Genomic DNA, 21,078 nt, shown 5'->3' with positions numbered 1-21,078 from the left:
TCTAGTAATCCCTTAGTTATGAGGCTTGAGTTAAACAGAAAGCTCAAGGCTGGAGATAATAATCTGAGTCACCGGATTTTTTTTTGGTGACATTTGGAGTCATGGAACTGGATGAGATCACCCTATTCACTGTTGTTCAATCATGTCACACATTTAATTCACTGGGGGAGCTTTAAAATAAAATACTGATGCCCTCCCATCCCCATCTGAATCTAAATCTGAGCAGAGGGGTCAGAGTAATGCTAAATTTTAAAATATTTTCTGGTCATTCTCATGTGCAATCACACTTAAGAACAACTGACCTATTGAAATGTGTGGATAGAAGTCTCAGTACTCGACTCTGGGACATAGTAAAATTCAAAGATGGGTAAAAGCAGATTATAACAAAGGAAGCTGGAAACAAGTGGGCACCAAAGCATGGGGAAAATCAGGAGAGTAGCATGGTGTCTCATAAGCTAAGAAAAGAAAGTGTTTTAAGAAGGAGGGCAGATAAATTCTATCAAATGCCACTGAAAGTTCAGTGAAGGGGAAGACTGAGAGTTGACCACTGGATTTGATAACATGAAGGTAGCTATGACAAGTGGGTTTAGACCATAGATGGGGATGAAAGAGTGATAGCACGCATTCAAGAGAGTAGAGGAGGGGAAGGAAAGAGTGCAAGTTAACAGCAACTCTTTGCCATATGCATTTGTCAGTGCTTTGTCTATTTTCAAAGCCTAGTTAAAAGGCTGAGCAGCCTCCTCCAAACTCACCAGCTGGAGGCAATCTCTCTATTGTACAATTTCCACTTGCCCTTATCTCTGAGATGTCAACTTGAACTATCACTCTAGTTATTTATGCACATCTTAGCTTTTTGTGGAGAAGTATCACGTTTAATTATACTTTCTATGCCCTACAGTGATAGAATAATAGGTTCTCAGTAGTTGTTAGGTCAAAATTTGGGAAAGAAAAAGCTTTGAAATATGCTGAAAAAGCAATGAATATTACTGAGGTGCTAAGTGAGCAGAGCTCTAATGTCATATGTCAGAAAGGGAAGATGTTAAAATTCACTGGCTATTTCAAGTAAATGTAAAGTATTGGGAGAGAAAGAGGACAGAAATAAAGTGTCGGGGAAAAAGTTTCTTTATATCTCTATTACTGTTTTCAATATTGAGCACTATGAGGTACTAAATGGCAGTTTTGTGACAAGGCACTGACCCATGTGTAGATGACAACAAACTATGCCTTCTACTTTTTCTCATGCATAGTGGCCAGGCCTCACTTGAACCACCAGCTCTGCCTACAACAAGGTAATCTCTCAGGAAATGCTGGAGTTGTTTTTAAAAACTGCAAGGTCATAATTTTTGTTTCTTTGTGTTTTTTAAAATATTATACATCTGACCACGTAGGAAAGTTTTATAAAATCTGCCTAAATTAGTTAGTGAAAAATAGCAACCTGGAGGACATGGAGATCTTTATAAATATATATCCAGTCACGACAACATGAGGGGTATTCGTGTTTGCAGTGGCTTTGAATATCCCAGAAGCGTCAGTATTTACATAATTTTCTCTTTTAGTTGTCTTTGGTATATATCCATTCATTTCACCCAAGAGCAATTTTTAACTTAAACCTTTTGTAAGTTAAATGTGTTTCAAATATATGAAACATACATACATAGTAAGAGACCATGAGTAGATTTTTATTTTTAAAAGACTTATAGGACTTGATTACCTGTCTCAACCCCTTGAAGTTCTAAGCCCCCCATATTTCTGAGTATAGCTGCCTGAGCTGTCATCTCTGAACATCCTCTCCCCAATCAACCATCTTCCTCTAGATTGATAAATAACCACCAATGTGTAAAGCAAACATGATATCCTCTATTTTCCACTTTAAAAAATGAGTTACATGAAAACTGAGCCAGAAAAAAATTTTGGGGGGGCTGTGCAAAAAATTAAGAATGCATGTTTTATGAAAGAGGTCCCCAAATAAGAAAGTAACTGCTAATTAAAACTAGAAATGAAATTTGAATGTTCTTTCTCTAAAGAAAGATAAATATATACTACTTATTTCAATGTATGTTTATTTGGGAGGGTATGTTGAATCCTGTCAATGTTTAAGAACTGTATTTCCTGAATCAGATACAGGAATTTGCTTTCTGATATTTGTTAGAATTGGCGATAAAATTAGTTATTGCACAAAGTGGCATTTAACACAACAAGTGAGGAATAAAGTAAAAATTATTACTAGTTAGGAAAAAATTTCAAAGCTTAGACACATCTCTATCATAAAAGATAGAGCTATTCCTAACAACAGAAAACACCCACAAAGCACATAGAAATGTTACATTTAAGTGCTTTTTTTCCTAGAAAAACATTCATATGAAATAGGAAATCTGGATATTAGCCCTTTGTCAGATGGGTAGATTGCAAAAATTTTCTTCCATTTTGTTGGTCACCTGTTTACTCTGATGATAGTTTTTTTGTTGTGCAGAAGGGCTAATATCCAGAATCAACAAGGAACTTAAACAAATTTACAAGAAAAACACAACCCCAAAAGAAAGTGGGCAAAGGATATGAACAGACACATCTCAAAAGAAGACATTTATGCAGCCAGCAAACATATGAAAAAAAGTTCATCATCACTGGTCATTAGAGAAATGCAAATCAAAACCACTATGAGATACCATCTCTTGCCAGTTAGAATGGCAATCATTAAAAAGTCAGGAAACAACAGATGCTGGAGAGGATGTGGAGAAATAGGAACACTTTTACACTGATGGTGGGAGTGTAAATTAGTTTGACCATTGTGGAAGACAGTGTGGCGATTCCTCAAGGATCTAGAACTAGAAATACCATTTGACCCAGCAATTCCATAACTGGGTATGTACCCAAAGGATTATAAATCATTCTACTATAAACACACATGTACATGTATGTTTATTGCTGCACTATTCACAATAGCAAAGACTTGGAACCAACTCAAATGCCCATCAATCTTAAGACTGGTTAAAGAAAATGTGGCACATATACACCATAGAATCAGCCGTAAAAAAAAAATTAGTTCATGTCCTTTGCCGGGGCATGGATGAAACTGGAAACCATCATCCTCAGCAAACTAATACAGGAACAGAAAACCAAACACTGCATGTTCTCACTCATCAGTGGGAGTTGAACAATGAGAACTCATGGGCACAGGGAGGGGAACATCACACAGTGAGGCCTGTCGGGGGATGGGGGGTTAGGGGAGGGATAGCATTAGGAGAAATACCTAATGTAGATGATGGGCTGATGGGTGCAGCAAACCACCATGGCACATGTATACCTGTGTAACAAATCTGCACATTCTGCACGTGTATCCCAGGACTTAAAGTATAATAAAAAAAGAAAGAGAAGAAAGAAAGAAAGAAAGAAAGAAAGAAAGAAAGAAAGAAAGAAAGAAGGAAAGAAAGAAAGAAAGAAAGAAAGGAAAGAAAGAAAGAAAGAGAAAGGAAGGAAGAGAAAGGAAGGAAGAGAAAGGAAGGAAGAGAAAGGAAGGAAGAGAAAGGAAGGAAGAGAAAGGAAGGAAGAGAAAGGAAGGAAGAGAAAGGAAGGAAGGAAGGAAGCAAGGAAGGAAGGAAGGAAGGAAGGAAGAAAAAGAAAGAAAGAAAAGGACATCTGAGGCCGCTGTCGCAAACTACAATATAAATATAAATCAGTGCCTCACAAACATCTTTAAAGTTTTTTCTTCATTGATCATCTCTACATGTGAGTTTTTTCCATAATAATGAAGAATCACTAGTATATGCTGGAAAGCACTTACTTTTAGCCTAGTCTAGCCTCAAAAATCAATAAGGAATCCCCATAAAGCAACTTTGAAAGGTGGTTTTCATGCACTAACTTCTTGAAGCTTCCCAATGATGTGAAGTTCATTACTTAGGCAGTTCAATCCATTTTTTTTTAAGTAAAACTCTCTTTTTTTCTTTTTTTTTTTTTTACCTTAAGTTCTGGGATACATGTGCTGAATGTGCAGATTTGTTATGTAGGTATACATGTGACATAGTGGTTTGCTGCACCTATCAACCCATCATCTAGGTTTTAAGCCCCGCATGCATTAGGTATTTGTTCTAATGCTCTCCCTCCCTCCCTCCACTTTCCCCCCAACCCCTGACAGGCCCAGTGTGTGATGCTCCCCACCCTGTGTCCATGTGTTCTCATTGTTCATCTCCCACTGATGAGTGAGAACATGTGGTGTCTGATTTTTCTGTTCCTGTGTTAGTTTGCTGGGGATGATGGTTTCCAGCTTCATCCATGTCTCTGCAAAGACATGAACTAATTCTTTTTTATGGCTGCATAGTATTCCATGGAGTATATGTACCACATTTTCTTTATCCAGTCTATCATTGATGGACATTTGGGTTGGTTCTAAGTCTTTGCTATTGTAAATAGTGCTGCAATAAACATACTTGTGCATGTATCTTTATAGTAGAATGATTTATAATTCTTTGGGTATATACCCTGTAATGGGATTGCTGGGTCAAATGGTATTTCTAGCTCTAGATCCTTGAGGAATCACCACACTGTCTTCCACAATGGTTGAACTAATTTACACTCCCACCATCAGTGTAAAAGCGTTCCTATTTCTCCACATCCTCTCCAGCATCTGTTGTTTCCTGACTTTTTAATGATCTCCATTCTAACTGGCATGAGATGGTATCTCATTGTGGTTTTGATTTGCATTTATCTAATGTCCAGTGATGATGAGCTTTTTTTCATATGCTTGTTGGCTACATAAATGTCTTCTTTTAAGAAGTGTCCGTTCATATCCTTCACCCACTATTTGATGGGGTTGGTTTTTTTTCTTGCAAATTTGTGTAAGTTCTTCTTAGACTCTGGATGTTAGACCTTTGTCAGATATACACTTCAGATAAGTGGTATATGTAAGGAGGAAACTTAATATTACATTTAAATATGCGGTTTAAAATTGTTCCAAGGTATTTTAAATGGGACCAAATATTTACTAAATGCCTTTTAAAGTTGATTAAGTTTTCCAGCTTCAAAATAATAAAATAATAAAACTGTCAAGTGGAACCTAAAGCCTGTGGAAAAATCAGGTGTTTCAATTTCTGACTGTAATTAATTAAACATTGGTTTTAAAAAACTAAGTTAATTGATTACATATTGTTTTCAGAATATAAAAGCCATCCTGAAGGTTTGTTCATGAACATGTATACACATGCAAAAAAAAAAAAAAAGCCTCACATTTTGTAGCTCATTAGTAGGGTAGTTTGAGGGCAACAACTATTTTTTCTCATAGTTTCTAGGCCAATAAAATCCTGCTTGATGTTCAATGTCTTCCTCCTTTTTGATGCTAAATGAATGAATGAATGAATGAATGAATGAATGAAGTTCCTAGGAAATTAGCTGGCAAGCTCTTCAGTATGGTGCTACTGTGTCCTACACAACTGCTTCCCCTCTTCCTTCTCTGAATTGGGAAGAGAGGTATTTTTTCTTTACTCTCCCCTACATCAATGGGCCACATCTAGGATGAATTAGGAGAAGTGGTTTCTGATCAGTACCTTGGTTTGTTTTGTTTTGTTTTGTTTTGTTTTGTTTTGTTTTTGTTTTGTCTTATTTTTTTTTTTTTAGAAGAGGTCTTGCTCTGTCACCCGGCCTGGGGGCAGTGGCGAGATAGTAGCTCACTGCAGCCTCAAACTTCTGGCCTCATGCTATCCTCCCATCTCAGCCTTCCAAGTAGCTGGAATTACAAGCTTGAGCCACTGTGCCCAGCAAGGATGCTACTTCTTTTAATGCAGTGTATGACTGGGGCAGATAGGCTGGAGCTTTAGGAATTGTCAAACATTTTGTAGCTTATATTCTGAGAGTCATAACTGCAATTCACATAATTCTATATGGAAATGTACTCATAAGTAACCAAGCTAAAGTTCTAATAGGTCACAGTTCCCATGTGACCTTAGATCTTGCTTCTTTCACCCAAAATTACTGCTTATCATGACAAGTGACTGTCTGGTCTATGTCCTGGGTCTGAGAAAATACTTTTGCTTTCTCTCACATAAAACAGTGATCATTTCGTATCTTGTAACTTCTAAAATTATCTTTCTGTTTCCTCTTATACACAGGACTTTGGCTAAGTTTTATTTTTATAGGAGCCAAGGCCTTTTTCTAAATATTTGTTAACTTTGTCCCCTAAAACCTGTCTGAAAAAGGTTCTTGGGACAAGTGCCCTTGGAAAAAATTACATGTGTTTATTCTTTAAAATAACAATTTATTTAGCTTTATCCAAAGTGAAAACATACAAAAATAACTGATTTTGCATGCTTGTAAATTACATTAATGTCCAATTGACTGGAAAAGCAATAGGCCACCTTAAAATTATACAAATATTTAAAAATTGCACATCTATACTAACTATAAATATGACAGTTTCAATACTATATCTGAAAACTTTTCAGTCTTTGATATAGTTATTGATTAAAAATTACTAAAATACTGATAGAAGCTGTTTTCTTTTATCTCCTAACTACTTTCCATCCCTTCTGCTATAAAGCATGATGGTGGTTATCTTAGCACTGTCAAAATAATGCAGAGTATAGATATTATGTGATTCTAATAATAATATAAAATAGTCTGAGTAACTTATTTGGATGATAATATTTTTGAATCTTTATGTAATTGTACTCTTCACCAAATATGAGACTGATTTTCTTGCAAGGTCAATTAAATATGCAATTAAAAGCTACTCTCTCATGTCTTCTTCCCATGGTTGTCAGTGCAAATTCTCCAGGGTCATCATCCCTCCACAGATCTGAGTCATTCATGCAAACTGCATTCCAAATGGCTTTAAAATATTAAAAGTTCCATTTTACAATTTCTTCTGCTCAGTGATCAGTGTGGTGAATCTCCTTCATCTTGATAAAGGTCATAAAGGTTTATTTTATTATTATTCTTTAAAGTGCCTGATTTTGCGGGTTGTGAAAGAAAGAGTGAAGGAAAGAGACAATTATAGGAAAAAAAAGAAAGAAAGAAAGTACAATTAGCATCAGGAACATGGCAGGACAATATTCATGAAGAATTTAACAAAGTTCCCCTATTACAGATATTTCTTTTTACCCTTTAACTCTTACTTAATCAGATAGCCATTATGTTTGACTCAGCAGAAATGGAGAGGGGGGACATAAAAATAATCAAATGTTGGTTTTTGAATTTCAAACATTTAGGTTTAGAGGAATAGGGATAATTTGGATTCAGAATCAATATATTTAGAAGAAGTTATGATCAGCAGAAAAATCTGAAAAGCTTCCCTCCTCCCTTCTCAGCTCTCCAAAGTAAAAAGAAATTCCTTGATTTAGGGGAGAGGAATGATAGAGGAAATAATGAAGAGTGAAAAAGGTTTGTGAGGCATTAGAATATAGAATGACAGGATCCAACTTGGAATGAACCTAAGGGGTGATTCATTTGTCTTACTGTTGGTACCTGATGAAGATTTTTTTAAATCTCACTTTAATAGCAGACAGTTTATTTCCTACAAATCAACATGAAAATGTCCAGCAGGTGTGATGTTAGTCAGGCTACCTCTAGATTCGCTCAATTCACATTCAGTGTAGCCTCTCAGGACAGGCCTCTTTTTTTTCATCTAAAGACACTCATAAGACCTTACATGTAGAGTGGGACCCCAGTCACCTAGAGAAGTGAGTGTAAAAGGAAGAGCTTCTTGCATATGGACTTGAGTGGGACCAAACAGAATCATCTCAATAACTTTCCCTGGTCAGAACAGGTGCATCCCAGTGAGATGGAAAGGCTCTTTTTGGTCACTCACATCCTAAGAACCTGAGTTTGCATTGCAGAAAACTTATATACAAGAGTTGAGAATGTCCTTCTCACCCTTTTAGCATAACTCAAGATGTGAATACATTGTACAAGAAGCCATGAGAGATGAAGTCAAGCGATTTTTTTATCTAGACTGTCCTTGTGGACATGTGCAGTTCAGGGCTGGATGTATCCATAGAATATTAGCTCACTCATCAATTTTGTGTAAAATATACCATCACCCTAGAAGCTACAAACAGAAAGGAAAATGGAGCTCTGCAATGCATTTCTTCGCCCCAGCTTGGTGTTGTTTCTCCAGAAACACTTGTTACACTAACTTAGGTGCTATTATATTATTAGAGATTGCACCTCAGGGAACAGGAGTGAAAGAAGGGGACATAATGAGGGGAAAAGGAAGAGAAAAGCAATTCAATTCTGCATTTCTAACTGGACAAGTGCTTGGTATCATGCACTACTGACTGAGCCATCTCATGGGACCAACTTCCAAGGTGGCATATGAACAACTGCGTCTCAAGACAACCCATCTGGAAGGAGGGTGGGAGGCTTTACTGCTGGCTCCAGGTTCCCAGTTCTTACTGCTCCAAGGTTTGCTCCATTATTCTGCTGGATTGCATTCACATTGGAACTAAGCATGCCTTGCAACATCTTATGTCTCAGTGCCAAAGAGGAATGCCTCTAGAGAAGTGTTACATAAGAAAAGTTGCTAGTTTGTGCATATGTGAAGCTGGCTAGAGTCCATGCTGAGGTGGTAGACACAGCAGCATCTGGACAAGATCAGGTGCCCAAAAGCTTGAGACACAAAGCCAAGAGGTTCTGAAGAGGCATGTGAGATGTATTTGATATAACCTCTCCCATCCCCATTCCCAGCCAAGGGAGACCCTACTTGGAATAGGAAACCCCATCTAAGTAGCTGGAAATTAGATATCCATATACAACCATGGAGAAAATATCCCCCTTGTTTTTAAGTGAAACAGTAATTGAAAGATGAGCTATTTTTCAGAACGTGAACATGGACAAGGCAGGGGGGAGGAAGATGTGGATAGATGGTCAAGGTCAAAGTCTGAAAAATGCATTAGATTAGTAAAATCTCTGCTAGGCTAAGCAATTGAGGTTTTGGGCATTTTCAAGGAAAACCCACCGCTGATAACAGTGGCAGGATATCTGAGTTAAGTTGGGAAATATCATGGACCAGTAGAGAGATGAGGGAATATCAATTAGCTTCTTTAACATTCTCCATAAGATTGAACAAAGTAGTGACTATACTTGTGCTAAGATTGTACAGAATTTGGTGCAGAAAGCTCTCGCCAGAGGGTTGTTAGAGTCAGGAATATAAATCGAACCTGCCTGCACTCTGTGTGGGAGGAATCAGCTCTAAGTAAAACCTTCCATTCTAAGGTTAATCAGGCAAATTCAGTAAAGCTATAAAGAGTAACTGATAGTTGGAAAAGGTAACACATGTCTCTCAGATACCAGCAGTTCAAGGAATTGGGTAAAGGAGGGAAATAACCCAGTAGCAGTCTTAAGTTAATACATCTACTGTATTTGCACTCTGAATGAAATAAAATTTATTTTCAAGCACTTGAAGAAATGTACACAAGCACAAGTAAAAGCACAATTAAAGTTCCAGATTTCCCCAAAACCACAATACAAAAGTGACAAAACATACAGTAAAATTTTTTAAAATCAGTGACAAAAAGGTAATGTACATAGCACACTAATTCAAATATCTCAAAAAACAAATGCACAATTTTGAGTAATTTGTGGGTAAAAGTGAAACTCAAAACGGAAATTACAAAACACTCTAAATAGAAGGAAATAATTATTAAAGTAAAATAATGAAACAAAAAAGCTATAGATTTGAACAACAGATACATAAACTGTTTCTGACAAGAATAACAAAACAGACAAAACCTTGTCAAGTATAATTTCATTTTATTTATTATTTATTTATTTATTTCGAGGCAGAGTCTCGCTCTGTCGCCCAGGCTGGAGTGCAATGGCGCGATCTCGGCTCACTGCAACCTCCGCTTCCGGGGTTCACGCCATTCTCCCACCTTAGCCTCCCTAGTAGCTGGGACTACAGGCGCCCGCCACCATGCCCAGCTGATTTCTTTTTGTATTTTTAGTAGAGATGGGGTTTCACTGTGTTAGCCAGGATGGTCTCCATCTCCTGACCTCTTGATCCGCCTGCCTCGGCCTCCCAAAGTGCTGGGATTACAGGCATAAGCCACCGCGCCTGTCCTGTAATTTTATTTTTAAAGCGAAGAAAGCCCTTAATAAACAGCATCAGTAATAAAAGTGGGCAAATAATTTAGTAATATATTACTTAACATTAAATAAAGTTAAAAATAATAACATATAATGAACAACGTTTTAGGAATTAATATGAAAATCTGTATAACATGAAAAAATCCTAAGGAAATATAAACCAGCAAGGTGGACCATCAAGAAGAAAACCATAAAATAAAAGAAAGAGTAGTGAAATTTCTTCAACCACAAAGATATCAAACCAACTAAACGTTTTTTAAAAGAAGCTAATTTAAATTGAACAAAAACTGTTCTAATATACAGAAAAGAAGATAGATAATTCCTCAATTATTTTATGAGTTTAGCAATAAATATGACAGAAAAGCACAAGAAAGTAAAAATGTATGTTAATCACACTTATAAGCATAGAAATGATTTCATGGCAACTCCAGCCTCAAACACCAGAATGTTCACACTGGCGCAAGACACTATCTGTTCAGCGAATGTGGGAAAGCTTACAGCAGATGCTCCCACTTTTTGTGGCACATAAAAGTTCACACTGGAGAAAGGCCTCATGAACATAGCAGTTTTGGTGACCATTTAGCTCTATCTTTTAAGCTCATTTAGCACACAAGAGACTTCATGCTGGCAAGAGGCCTTAAGACTGCAGGGAATGTATTGTCTCTTTGTTCAACATAGCATAACTCAAAAAAGAGAAAAAGCTTTGAGAATAGCCTTTGTGAGGGAGCTAAACACCAGAAGTTGAACTTTGTACATCTGGGTATCTACAATGGGGGAATCACCTATAAGTGCCAGGTATGTGGGAAGCATTCAGGAGCTATGCTGCATTTTCTAACCTTCCCAGGCCCCTTACCTGAGTTATGTCATTGCCAGTGTCTGCTGCAGAAACCATTCTACTTCTACTAGCAGTCAGGTAGTGTGTGACAATCACCCCAGTATGCTCAGAGCAAAGACCTCTCTGCTCTTTTTTATTCCTTGAGGGAATTATGAGTGATCTGAACACACTAGGAGGTCCTCATTCCCTCTGCCCTGATGGTTTCAGTGTGGACATGACCAAGCTCCTGCTAAAAATGCATGAGCTGAGATTTGCTGCAAGTTTCCAAAGATTTCCCTTCTTCGTGGAAAATATTGACTCTCTATGTGATAGCTGAGATAGATTTCTCCAGCCTCCAAATCACTAAGCCTTGGAACTTCCTAACCTAACTAATCTGATTTGTGCAATGACTTGTACAACGATTTTTACCTTATTGATTAAGGCTTTCCTCTTTTGTGTTCACTGTGTGGGACTGATTGAGAAAAGAATCAGGCTTTGCCAGCATGAAGGGAGGAACATCTTTTACGGGGGCTCCAAACTTTATGTGCTTTAGAGAGAACAGCTCACAGTCTAATTTGACCTAGTTGGCAATGCTGCCCAAGCCCTTTTAGGAAAAACTATAGAGCTTTGTGGAGCTAATCTTGTTACATGGCTACCTCTTAAGAGCCCTAAGTTCACCCCCAATAAAGAGAGAGTTTTTATGACAACCTACAGTACATCTGGGGACAACATGAGTTTAGTCCCTTTTCCCCAGGGGATGGTTAACATCCTCCAACACTATTGAAGTGTAGCTGTCTCCTAAGACCTACCCAGAAGTCACAGTTCCTGAAGTCCAAAATCTGGCAGGAAGATAAGACCTATAGGGACTACGGGGTAAATATAGTTGATACATTTCTTGTACTATGTAGAATGTTGTCATCTTTCCTGACATTCAAACTTATAAAGGTTAAATATACACAGTCTGTTTTTCTACCTTTTAAAATTTTAAGCCTTAATGCTTAGTAAGGATGACTCTGGTAAATATTGTTTCAGTTAGAAATCCTGAAATATGTTTGATTACATCTTATTTAGATAAAACATCTTTCCAAAAATAAAACTAAGCTGGGTGCAGTGGCACATGCCTGTAGTCTCAGCTACTGGGGAGGCTGAGGTGGGAGCCCAGGAGTTCCAGGCCAGTCTGGGCCTCATAATGAGACCCACGTCTCTAAAAATAAAATAGTTTTTTGTTTAATTAAAAAAATTCAAAATATTTTAAAAATCTAAAATTAAAAAAATTCAAAGTATAAAATAAAATGAATATAAATTTTTTAAAAAAAATTTTTAAAAACTTTTAAAAAATAAATAAAACTAATAAGTAAGAACCTTCATATTGATACAGTTTGAGACATTTTGCAGTCCAGGGATGGGTATTGTGTGACCCATCTAGAGTTCAGGTGGATGTGGCCTTCATTGCTCTGCAGTTTCTAAACCGAGGCAGAGATGACCCTCCCATTATATAGGAAATGGGAAATAGTTGAGTTAATATAGGGTTGGTTGATGTTCCAAGAGAAATGGAAGATTCAGATTTTTATGGGTAGCCATAACAGCTTTATTGGTGTATAATTGGAATACAATAAACTGCACATATTTAAATTGTAAAATTTGTTAAATTTTGACACATATATATACCTATGATACCATTGTCACAATTAAGGTAATGACCGTATCACCCCCAGAAGTTTTCTTATGCCTTTAATAATCTCTTTGTTTTGTCCCTCCTTGATCTCTCATCTGCATACAACCACTGATTTGTTTTTTATCACCACACATTACTTTGCATTTCTTAGAATTTTATACAAATGTAATCATACAGTGAGCGCTTATTTTTTGTCTACCATCTTTCAGTAAGCATCCTTTTTGTAGAGTTCAATCAAAGTTAAGAATATCAGTAGATATTTCTTTTTATTGCTGAGTAATATTTCACTGTGTGGATATACCACAATTGTTTATCCGTAAGTTTCTATGGACTTTTGGGTTGTCTTCAGGTTTGGGCTATTAAAAATAAAGCTGCTTTTGAAAAAAATAAAAAGGAACATTTAATGACCTCTCAGAGACAGCTGTCTTGCAAAAGAAAGACAGCTCCTCAAGACCAAACTCCACCATTCATATTGCCTCCACGTTGCCCTTAAGAGTCAGGTCCTAGTATTATTCAGGGGAGAATTTCAAGATCTGGGAAGGAGCTAGCACTTTTATCCAATGTAGTTGCAAGTTCTTACTAATCGTATAGGTAAGAAATCAGAACATATTCTGGGAATGGATTTGAAGTTTGCTGGACCAAGGAGAATAGAACATAAGGGTAAACATCAGGTAAAATTTATCCACATAGGTACACTTACTTGAGCTTTGGCTTTTACCCTGGATTGAATGGTTGCCTACATAAAAGAATTGAAATACCCCAGAATTTCCCTTGGACTTTTTTTTCTATATCTCAGAGTGATGACTCCTGCACATATATTTCCAAGTTTTCTTCTCCTCTGGCTTCCATGTAGGTTCAGCCAGAGGGAGGCACCTAAGGGAGACTGGAGGGCATGAAGTAGAGGGAATCCAGGTTTCTTCTTCTTCCTCTATGCTTCAGCTGGCTTTTCTAGCAAAGTTTGCATCTCCTTTGCTCCAGTAGCCCTTCCAGACAATTGTTCTTGTGGTTCCAACATTTACCAAGTGACCTTGGGCTCTGGAGGCCAGTAAAACCACCCTAGTACCTCTAGCCTAGGAGTGGTAACTGCTTTCTGCTGATATTAATCTGTGTTGCCCAAACTGTTACCATCAAGTGAAGAGCCAATTCTCTTAAATTCCATCTGTTTAAATGTTTCAAGAATTTTTTTAGTTTCTTTTTTTTTTTTTTTTCTGGTTGTAGTCTAACTGATACATAACCACACTGAGAGGATGGGAGAAAGAGGGTAAGTGTGTGAGTAAGCAATGAGAGTGAAATAGTCCTTAATCATGGTCTCTGCAGAAAACATCTTATTCAAAGTAGTTGAAGAGAATTTAATGAAGAGGCTATTTTTAGAGTGGAGGGCAGGGCTGAGGAATGCATTAAAAATGGAGATGCACCCAGGAACTAACAATAGTGGGAAGTTTTTCCCATCCCTTAAAAGGAGGCAAAGGGTGGAGCCGTGTTAATGGAACTAGAAAGACCTCCAACTGTGGGAAAGAATCACTGAACAAGAGATGGGGCCATAGGTAGGGGAACACAATGACCATTAAACTGTAATCTGATAGGGAAGGATCATCAGGGAGCAGGAATATATACCTGACCTCTCTCTGCTTCTGCCCTTTGATTTCCTGCCAATACCTGTCACTGCCAAAGTGAAATTAAAAGCCAAAGTTCAAGGGAAACCTGCTGATCCAGTCCATAGAAGTCATCCTCCCAGGGCATAGAACGGGGAGCTAAAGCTAAAAGCTTTAAACCCACAGTTTAAATATACTTTAAGGCCCATAGTTACTTAACCAAAATTTAAATCATCCTGAACTTCCTAAAACACTATCCTTAATCTTAAATCCAAAACAGTTTTACATCCTCATCAGCATGATTCAGTGAAATGAAGCTAATCAGCTATAGAGAAATCAGCTTAATCAGCTTTGTTTGCTAAAAAGAATGTTAACATATAACAGCCAATCATGAAAAAGGCCAAAATACTTCATCCTTTATGTTTTATAAACTGTGCTGTGAAGTGGGCTTCTTACTGCTCTTGGTTTGAGGAGTCCTGGTTTGCAAACTGTCCTTTTCTACGCACAAAAAACTTTAAAATTTTTTTTAAAATTTGATCTGATGATTGTATTTTTGACAGAGTTGAAACTGATTACTTCAGAGGAGTGAAACTCGGGGGTAGGAGTGAAGTGTTTTTGTAATAAGTCATAATGAGCTATTGGAATATATATGGGTGCAATGTATTATATATAATGTAATGTAATATAATTAAAAATATTTTCTTAGAACAAAGAAAAGTGAAAACTCTTTGGTGTAAGTATATAGGAAGGATTTGAGGGTCAAAGACTATTTGAATATATTTCTGTGCCTATGTGGGTGTGTTTACAGACTGAAAAGAAGAAATAGGAAGCTGGAGAAATGGGGAACATTTTTGAAAGATGAGAGATGAAACTCAAGGATACAGGAGAAAATGACATCAAGAGCACAAGTAGAGGGCTAACACTTTTTCCTCCAAGAGTAGCTGAAAGGAGGTAAAAATTAATATTAATGCAGGCTATGGGTAATTGGAAGCCAATCGTTGAGAAAAATCATATCTGAGCATGACCATTTATTGATAAAACAGATGTTATATTCATCAGCTGAGAGTGGAGAGAAATGGTAGAATGAGATGTAAGGACAGCAAATAAATTGTCCACTAGCTGAGAGCAATGAGAAATAATATAGTCCAAAAAGAAACAAAAATACTCCTGGTTCTACTCTGGTTGCAAATGCATTCGAGAATATGAATTTATCCTGTCCATAGGGTTATGCTATTTTTCTGCAACCGGGTTTAGTAAACAATATAGGAGTGGTAAGAGAAGAGTATTGTATTGTTTATAGAGATAAGATTTTGTCAGTTTGGTGTGGTAAAAAGACAATAGTTTAAAGTTGTTGAGAAAATTATTCGCATATAGTGCAGGTAATCAACAGAGGTAGCTAAGAGGAGAGAGAAAGGTAATGAGCAGGCTTATATCTTGGAAGAAAGCAGAGCAATCAGTAGCTGGGGTTTCTATATGGTTGAAGATAATTGCACTTGTCTGAGTGTATAAGAAGGTAAGATATTGCATTGAAATGGTGGGGAATTTGAATTTAAGAAACAGAGCAGTCATGAGCACTGACAAATCTTGAATGAGATATCAATTTCAATAGACAAAATGGCTGAATTTAAGAAAGACAGGGAAGTACAAAGGCAGGGTGCCTGACATATCAACCAATGGCATACTGAACCTGGCTAAGATTATGGTCAGGGGAGCTGAAACCTCAGAGAATAAATTAGGACAACTAGGAGATTGATCAATTACAATAAGAAGTTGATAGTCCTTTAGCCCAATGTCATGGTCCTCAAAGAAAGGATCTTTATAATTGACACAGTTTGGAGGTAGAATTAGCATATTATTTATCTTTCAAAATGGAAAACTTTTCACAATGTTTTCATTCCCTGTGGCTGCTGTAACAAATTACCAAACTTGGTTTGCTTAAAATAACATAAATTTGTTCTCTCACAGTTCTGGAGGCCAGAAGTCCTACATCAGTTTCACTGTGCTGAAACCAAGGTGCCAGCTAGGCCATGCTCCCTCCAGAGTCTAAAAGAGACTCTAATCCTTGCATCTTTCCAGTTTCTGATAGTTGCCAACATTCCTTGTCATGTGGCTGCATAACTCCAATCTCTGCCTCCATGATCACATCACTTTCTCCTCCTTTGTGTCTGTCAAATTTTTTTTCTGCCTCTGTATTGAGGGTACATGAGATTAAGAATACTCAGTAATAGGGATTACTCAGATAATCAGGATTATCCTTCCCATCTCAAAGTGGTTCACCTAATCACATCTGCAAAGACTTTGGTCCCCCTGCATGTAAGTTAACGTTCACAAGTTCCAAGGATTAATATGTGGATAACTTTTTTTTCAGGCTATCACAGGTAGCAAAAAGGAGCATTGTGAGTAATTATATAACAGCAACAGGTGCAAACCAGGACTGTCCCAGGCAAAACGGACTATATGGTCACCTTATTTGGAGGCAGACTTGGGAGCTTGAGATTTCTGAAATGTTCTTTCATAAGTAACCATGAGACCAGAAGCGTGGACATTGTTCACTGTCCATTGAAGGAGGCGGGTTACAGAGGAAGCAATTATCCTTGAGATAGAGTCAGAAAACTGCTGGTGCACACAACACCTCTCTGCGCATCCTTGTGGATACAGCCCAGCATCAGGGTATAGGGATTTGGCAACTGTATGGTGAGCAGTTTTAACAACCATATGCAACAGCCTTGGATAGATACCAGTTCTATGGAAGATAAGGTACAGAAAGTGTAAAGAAGTTTGGAATTCAAAGAGGTTAAATTAAAATCACTGATAGATGCAGATACACAAAGTGCACTGGAAATAGCTGATTTTGAAATTCCTAATTGACATTTGTTATAAAGTTTAGGCACCATAGAATTTTCTTCATGACCAGTGGATACTAAGACTTCTAATGCAATCTTTTCTCAGTGTTCCTGCTGGCTGCTTCTTCCTCCCTTATCTCAGTTTCTTAACTGTCCGTAGGGGATCACAACTTGGTATCAGCTATTATCTCTTCCTGAGAGGAAACATTAGCATCTTACTTTTTGTTTGTTTGTTTGTTTGTTTGAGACGGAGTTTCGCTCTTGTTGCCCAAGCTGGAGTGCAATGGCGCAATCTTGGCTCACCACAACCTCTGCCTCCCAGGTTCAAGCGATTTTCCTGCCTCAGCCTTCTGAGTAGCTGGGATTACAGGCATGTGCCACCACGCCTGACTAATTTTTTGTATTTTTAGTAGAGATGGGGTTTTTCCATGTCGGTCAGGCTGGTCTCAAACTTCCGACCTCAGGTGATTCACCTGCCTCGGCCTCCCGGAGTGCTGGGATTATAGGCGTGAGCCACTGTGGCTGGCCAACATCTTACTTTTTTTAAGATTGTCTAAACACAAACCCATTAGATAATTTCAAATACTTTTTTCAACTTTGTGCAGGGCAGAAGCAATTTAAATACAAATTTCCTAAATTGGAAAACATAAATTGAAATAAGAAAGTTACATATAAGCCAAACATATCCTTCTATTTTTTCCTTTGTAAATTTTACATAAACTACTCCCTAAGGTTCAGCCAAAAATTTCTGAGAAGGATCAGTAATTTGTTTCCTTAATTAAAATGAAATGCCCTCTTTAAACAAAGTAATTTATTCAGCTCTTCTATTCAAATGAACATATTTAGTTAAAGAATAATAAGGAGTGATGGCATTATTTTGGATAAAAATCAAGTACAACTCTGAGAGATTCTATTTCAAGAATAATATATAAACTTTATTACTCTGTTGATACATAGTTAGGACAATATATAAGCATTGTTTAGAGCTGATAACTCTATTTTGTCAGTTCCAGAATGTATAAACTCTATCGTAGTTTTTTGGTTTAGTGCACACATAAATAAAAAGCAAATTAAAGACAAACTCATTTTTCTCATATGAAAATAAAAAAGAATGAAGAAATAGAGGTAACTAGATGTTTGCTCAAGTCTGCAGCAAAGGACTGCGCTACATTGAAAACATTTTTATTAGATTTTTAAACCTGTTGATTGGCAGGATATTTTTAGTATTGGTTCCCTTAGATATACACCAGGTATGCACACACATAATCCTATTCATTTCTCATATGCAAAGCCACTTAAACTCGAGTAAAAACAAACAGCTTATAATCTTATGACATTTGGAAGCAGCATGTGGAAAAAAATCACAGTGTGGATTTGGCAGTAAAATAAAATGACAGAAGTTGATTCTCTCATCTAGTCTTCTTCAGCTTGAGAGAGATCTAAATTAAGAAGGTGATAAAGAAGGTAAAATGCGCCAACAATAAACACAGCATCACAGTCCATTTTGTGTTGTTCTAACATAATACCGCAGACAGGGTAATTTATTTTAGAAAGAAATGCATTTCTTACAGTTCTGGCGGCTGGGAAGTCCAAGGTCAAGGGGCCCACATCAGTGAGGGCCTTTGTGTTCAACATCCCATGGTGGAAGGCAGACTTGCAAGAGAGCATGTAAGACAGAGGGAGAAAGGGAGCCAAACTTTTTCATCAGGAGCCTGCTCCTACGATAACTAACCCACTCTCTTGATAATGGCTTTAATCCATTCATTAGGGCAGAGCCCTGATGACCTAATCACCTCTTAAAGGTCCCACTTCTCAACACTGATACAATGGCAATTAAATTTCAGCATGAGTTTTTGAGAGGACATTCAAACCATAACACACAACCATCTATTTCAAAAGCATTCTTAAATGTGCCAGTAATTCATTTACTTATCTATTCTTCTAGCATTCTAGCATTTTTCAATACTTGTAAATTTGAAAGTTTGCCTGTGTGACAAGTTATTGACAATAAATCCAATCTCTTTTAATTTAGAAAAAAATCAAGTACACTCAAAGCATCCTGTACTTAAAACTTTGCATTTTTAAAGGTAGCACGCCATTATAAGAAGTGAAATTCTGCCTCCATGATAATGGAGTTAGAAGCCTCCAGTACAACAGTGCTAATAATAAGATGTTGAAAGCAATTTTAACCCACAAAGTCAAGCAATGACCTGTAGGATTGATTTTACTTCACTGAGGGTGTATTAATGTGTTATTTCTTTGGATCTCAGAAATAACAGATTTATCTCACTAAACAAATAATAGAGTAATTCAATTCTAGTTTTGAATTATTAAAGTATTCTGTATCCATATCATGAAATATTATTAGAATTAGATACTTGGGGATTACTTTAATGTGTCAAGTTAATTTATGTAACTCCTAACAGTATAGGTTCTATTGGCCAAATGCATTATTTTAACCTATTACTATGCAAGAATGTTTTTGTGATGATAGGGCACTTGTTTAAATTCTACTTTCTAAGATAACATTAGTGTATTATTTAACTGTTTTAGAATAAGATCAGAAGTTGATCATGTATTTCCTGCTGTTCAGGGAAAATAAGAAATAGTTTCTGTATTCACGAATGCTAACTGCAAATGAGAAGAAAAATTATGGTAGGACACAAGTTTATATCTTTAGGGAGTAGATATAATCCACCAAGTTCTTAAGGAAACACTGCTTCCTCACTTAAGTTATTATCTAAAATGGTGGAAGAAAGGTAGCTTCATTCAAACTGAATAATTATAATGAGAAAATCAAAGTAACCAGATTTATGGCCTGCTGGGGGTTATGGTTTTGAAAATACCTATTTTACCGCCATCTCTCCTTCTCCATCACCCACTCCCTTATTCTCAAACCTTCCCATTCCCTAAAAATTTCCACAAGATTATCGTTTCTATTTTATCTTCTAAATTTTGAAATACTGGTATGTAGTATTCTAATGTGTAATTAAGGGGCTTAATGTATTAAATTATTTAGTATCATGCCTCTTCTAAAATTAATTGGTTGCCTATGCCAAATAAATTTTGTAAGTTTGAAGTTTCCACAAGATTGTCATTTCTGTTTTATCATATAAATTTTGAAATTCTATAGAGTAGGATTATTATCACATATTTTCCATAGTTGCTGCTATCTAGTATGTAGTATTCTAATATGTAATTAAGGGGCTTTATGCATTAAATAATTTATTAATATCATGCCTCTTCTAAAGTTAATTGGTTGCCTATGCCAAATAAATTTTGCAAGTTTGAAGTTCCAGGCCAAAAGGGACTGGGGTGAAGTGAATTACTCAACGTACTATATATGGGAACTGTAATTGTTATTGATTTCTAAATGGCAGCTATAATGACTATTCCGAGCTTGTCTTCTTGAAATGGTAGAGGAAATATTCAGAACAAATGTCTAATTCCTCTTTATCAATAAAATATAAGCCTGGAACTTTAGGGTTATACCTGGAGGAGTGGGGATGGACTACACAACAATAAAAACTTTAAGAAAATTTTGCACCTAGATTTATATTTAATATAATTGTTTTATCAAATCAATTCACTTTATATATAAGTACAAATGTATATATTTGTATATTCAATGTGTACTTATATACAAATACGAACATATATATGTGTGCATATTGTTCAAAACCTATATATGTGGATTGTTCTCCTAATGTAGGTTTTGTGAAGCTGTTCCTGGTTAGCCATCAGGAAATAAAACTCCAATTGAACTAGATTGAAAAAAATAATCCTCTTTACTCTGCAGAGTCCATCTCTTTACCAAAGCTTGGAAGATAATTGACATTCTGAAAAAAAAATGGACTTTTAAATAATATCATTCAATGTAAGTGTTAATGTAGTAACCACGGGACAGAAGAAACTACTAAATCCTACATAGCCTTTTTATTGCATTGCAAAATAAAAAGAGAGGACTTATGTTTGCCACTTGATATAGTCTCTTCTTTTCTATGGTATTGAAATGTAATAGAATAGCTTTTGTTGGGCTATTTTCCGCCTGTAATAGAATCTTTGATTTATAAAGGTGCTGAA

The 21,078-nt window shown here is 36.6% G+C and overlaps 1 annotated feature.

Moving 5' to 3' along the window:
• Nucleotides 13,772-14,514: an enhancer, noted in NCBI's record as "OCT4-NANOG-H3K27ac hESC enhancer chrX:34782794-34783536 (GRCh37/hg19 assembly coordinates)". NCBI's record gives its function as "activates a minimal SCP1, AML or CMV promoter by ChIP-STARR-seq in naive and primed H9 embryonic stem cells {active_cell/tissue: H9 hESC(naive and primed)}" and the evidence as "EXISTENCE:reporter gene assay evidence [ECO:0000049][PMID:30033119]".

This window comes from Homo sapiens, chromosome X (genome assembly GCF_000001405.40).
Source record: "Homo sapiens chromosome X, GRCh38.p14 Primary Assembly".
In the NCBI taxonomy this organism is placed as follows: Eukaryota; Metazoa; Chordata; class Mammalia; order Primates; family Hominidae; genus Homo; species Homo sapiens.
Note: the sequence above shows the minus strand (reverse complement) of the source record. Positions and strands in the feature narration are given on the sequence as shown.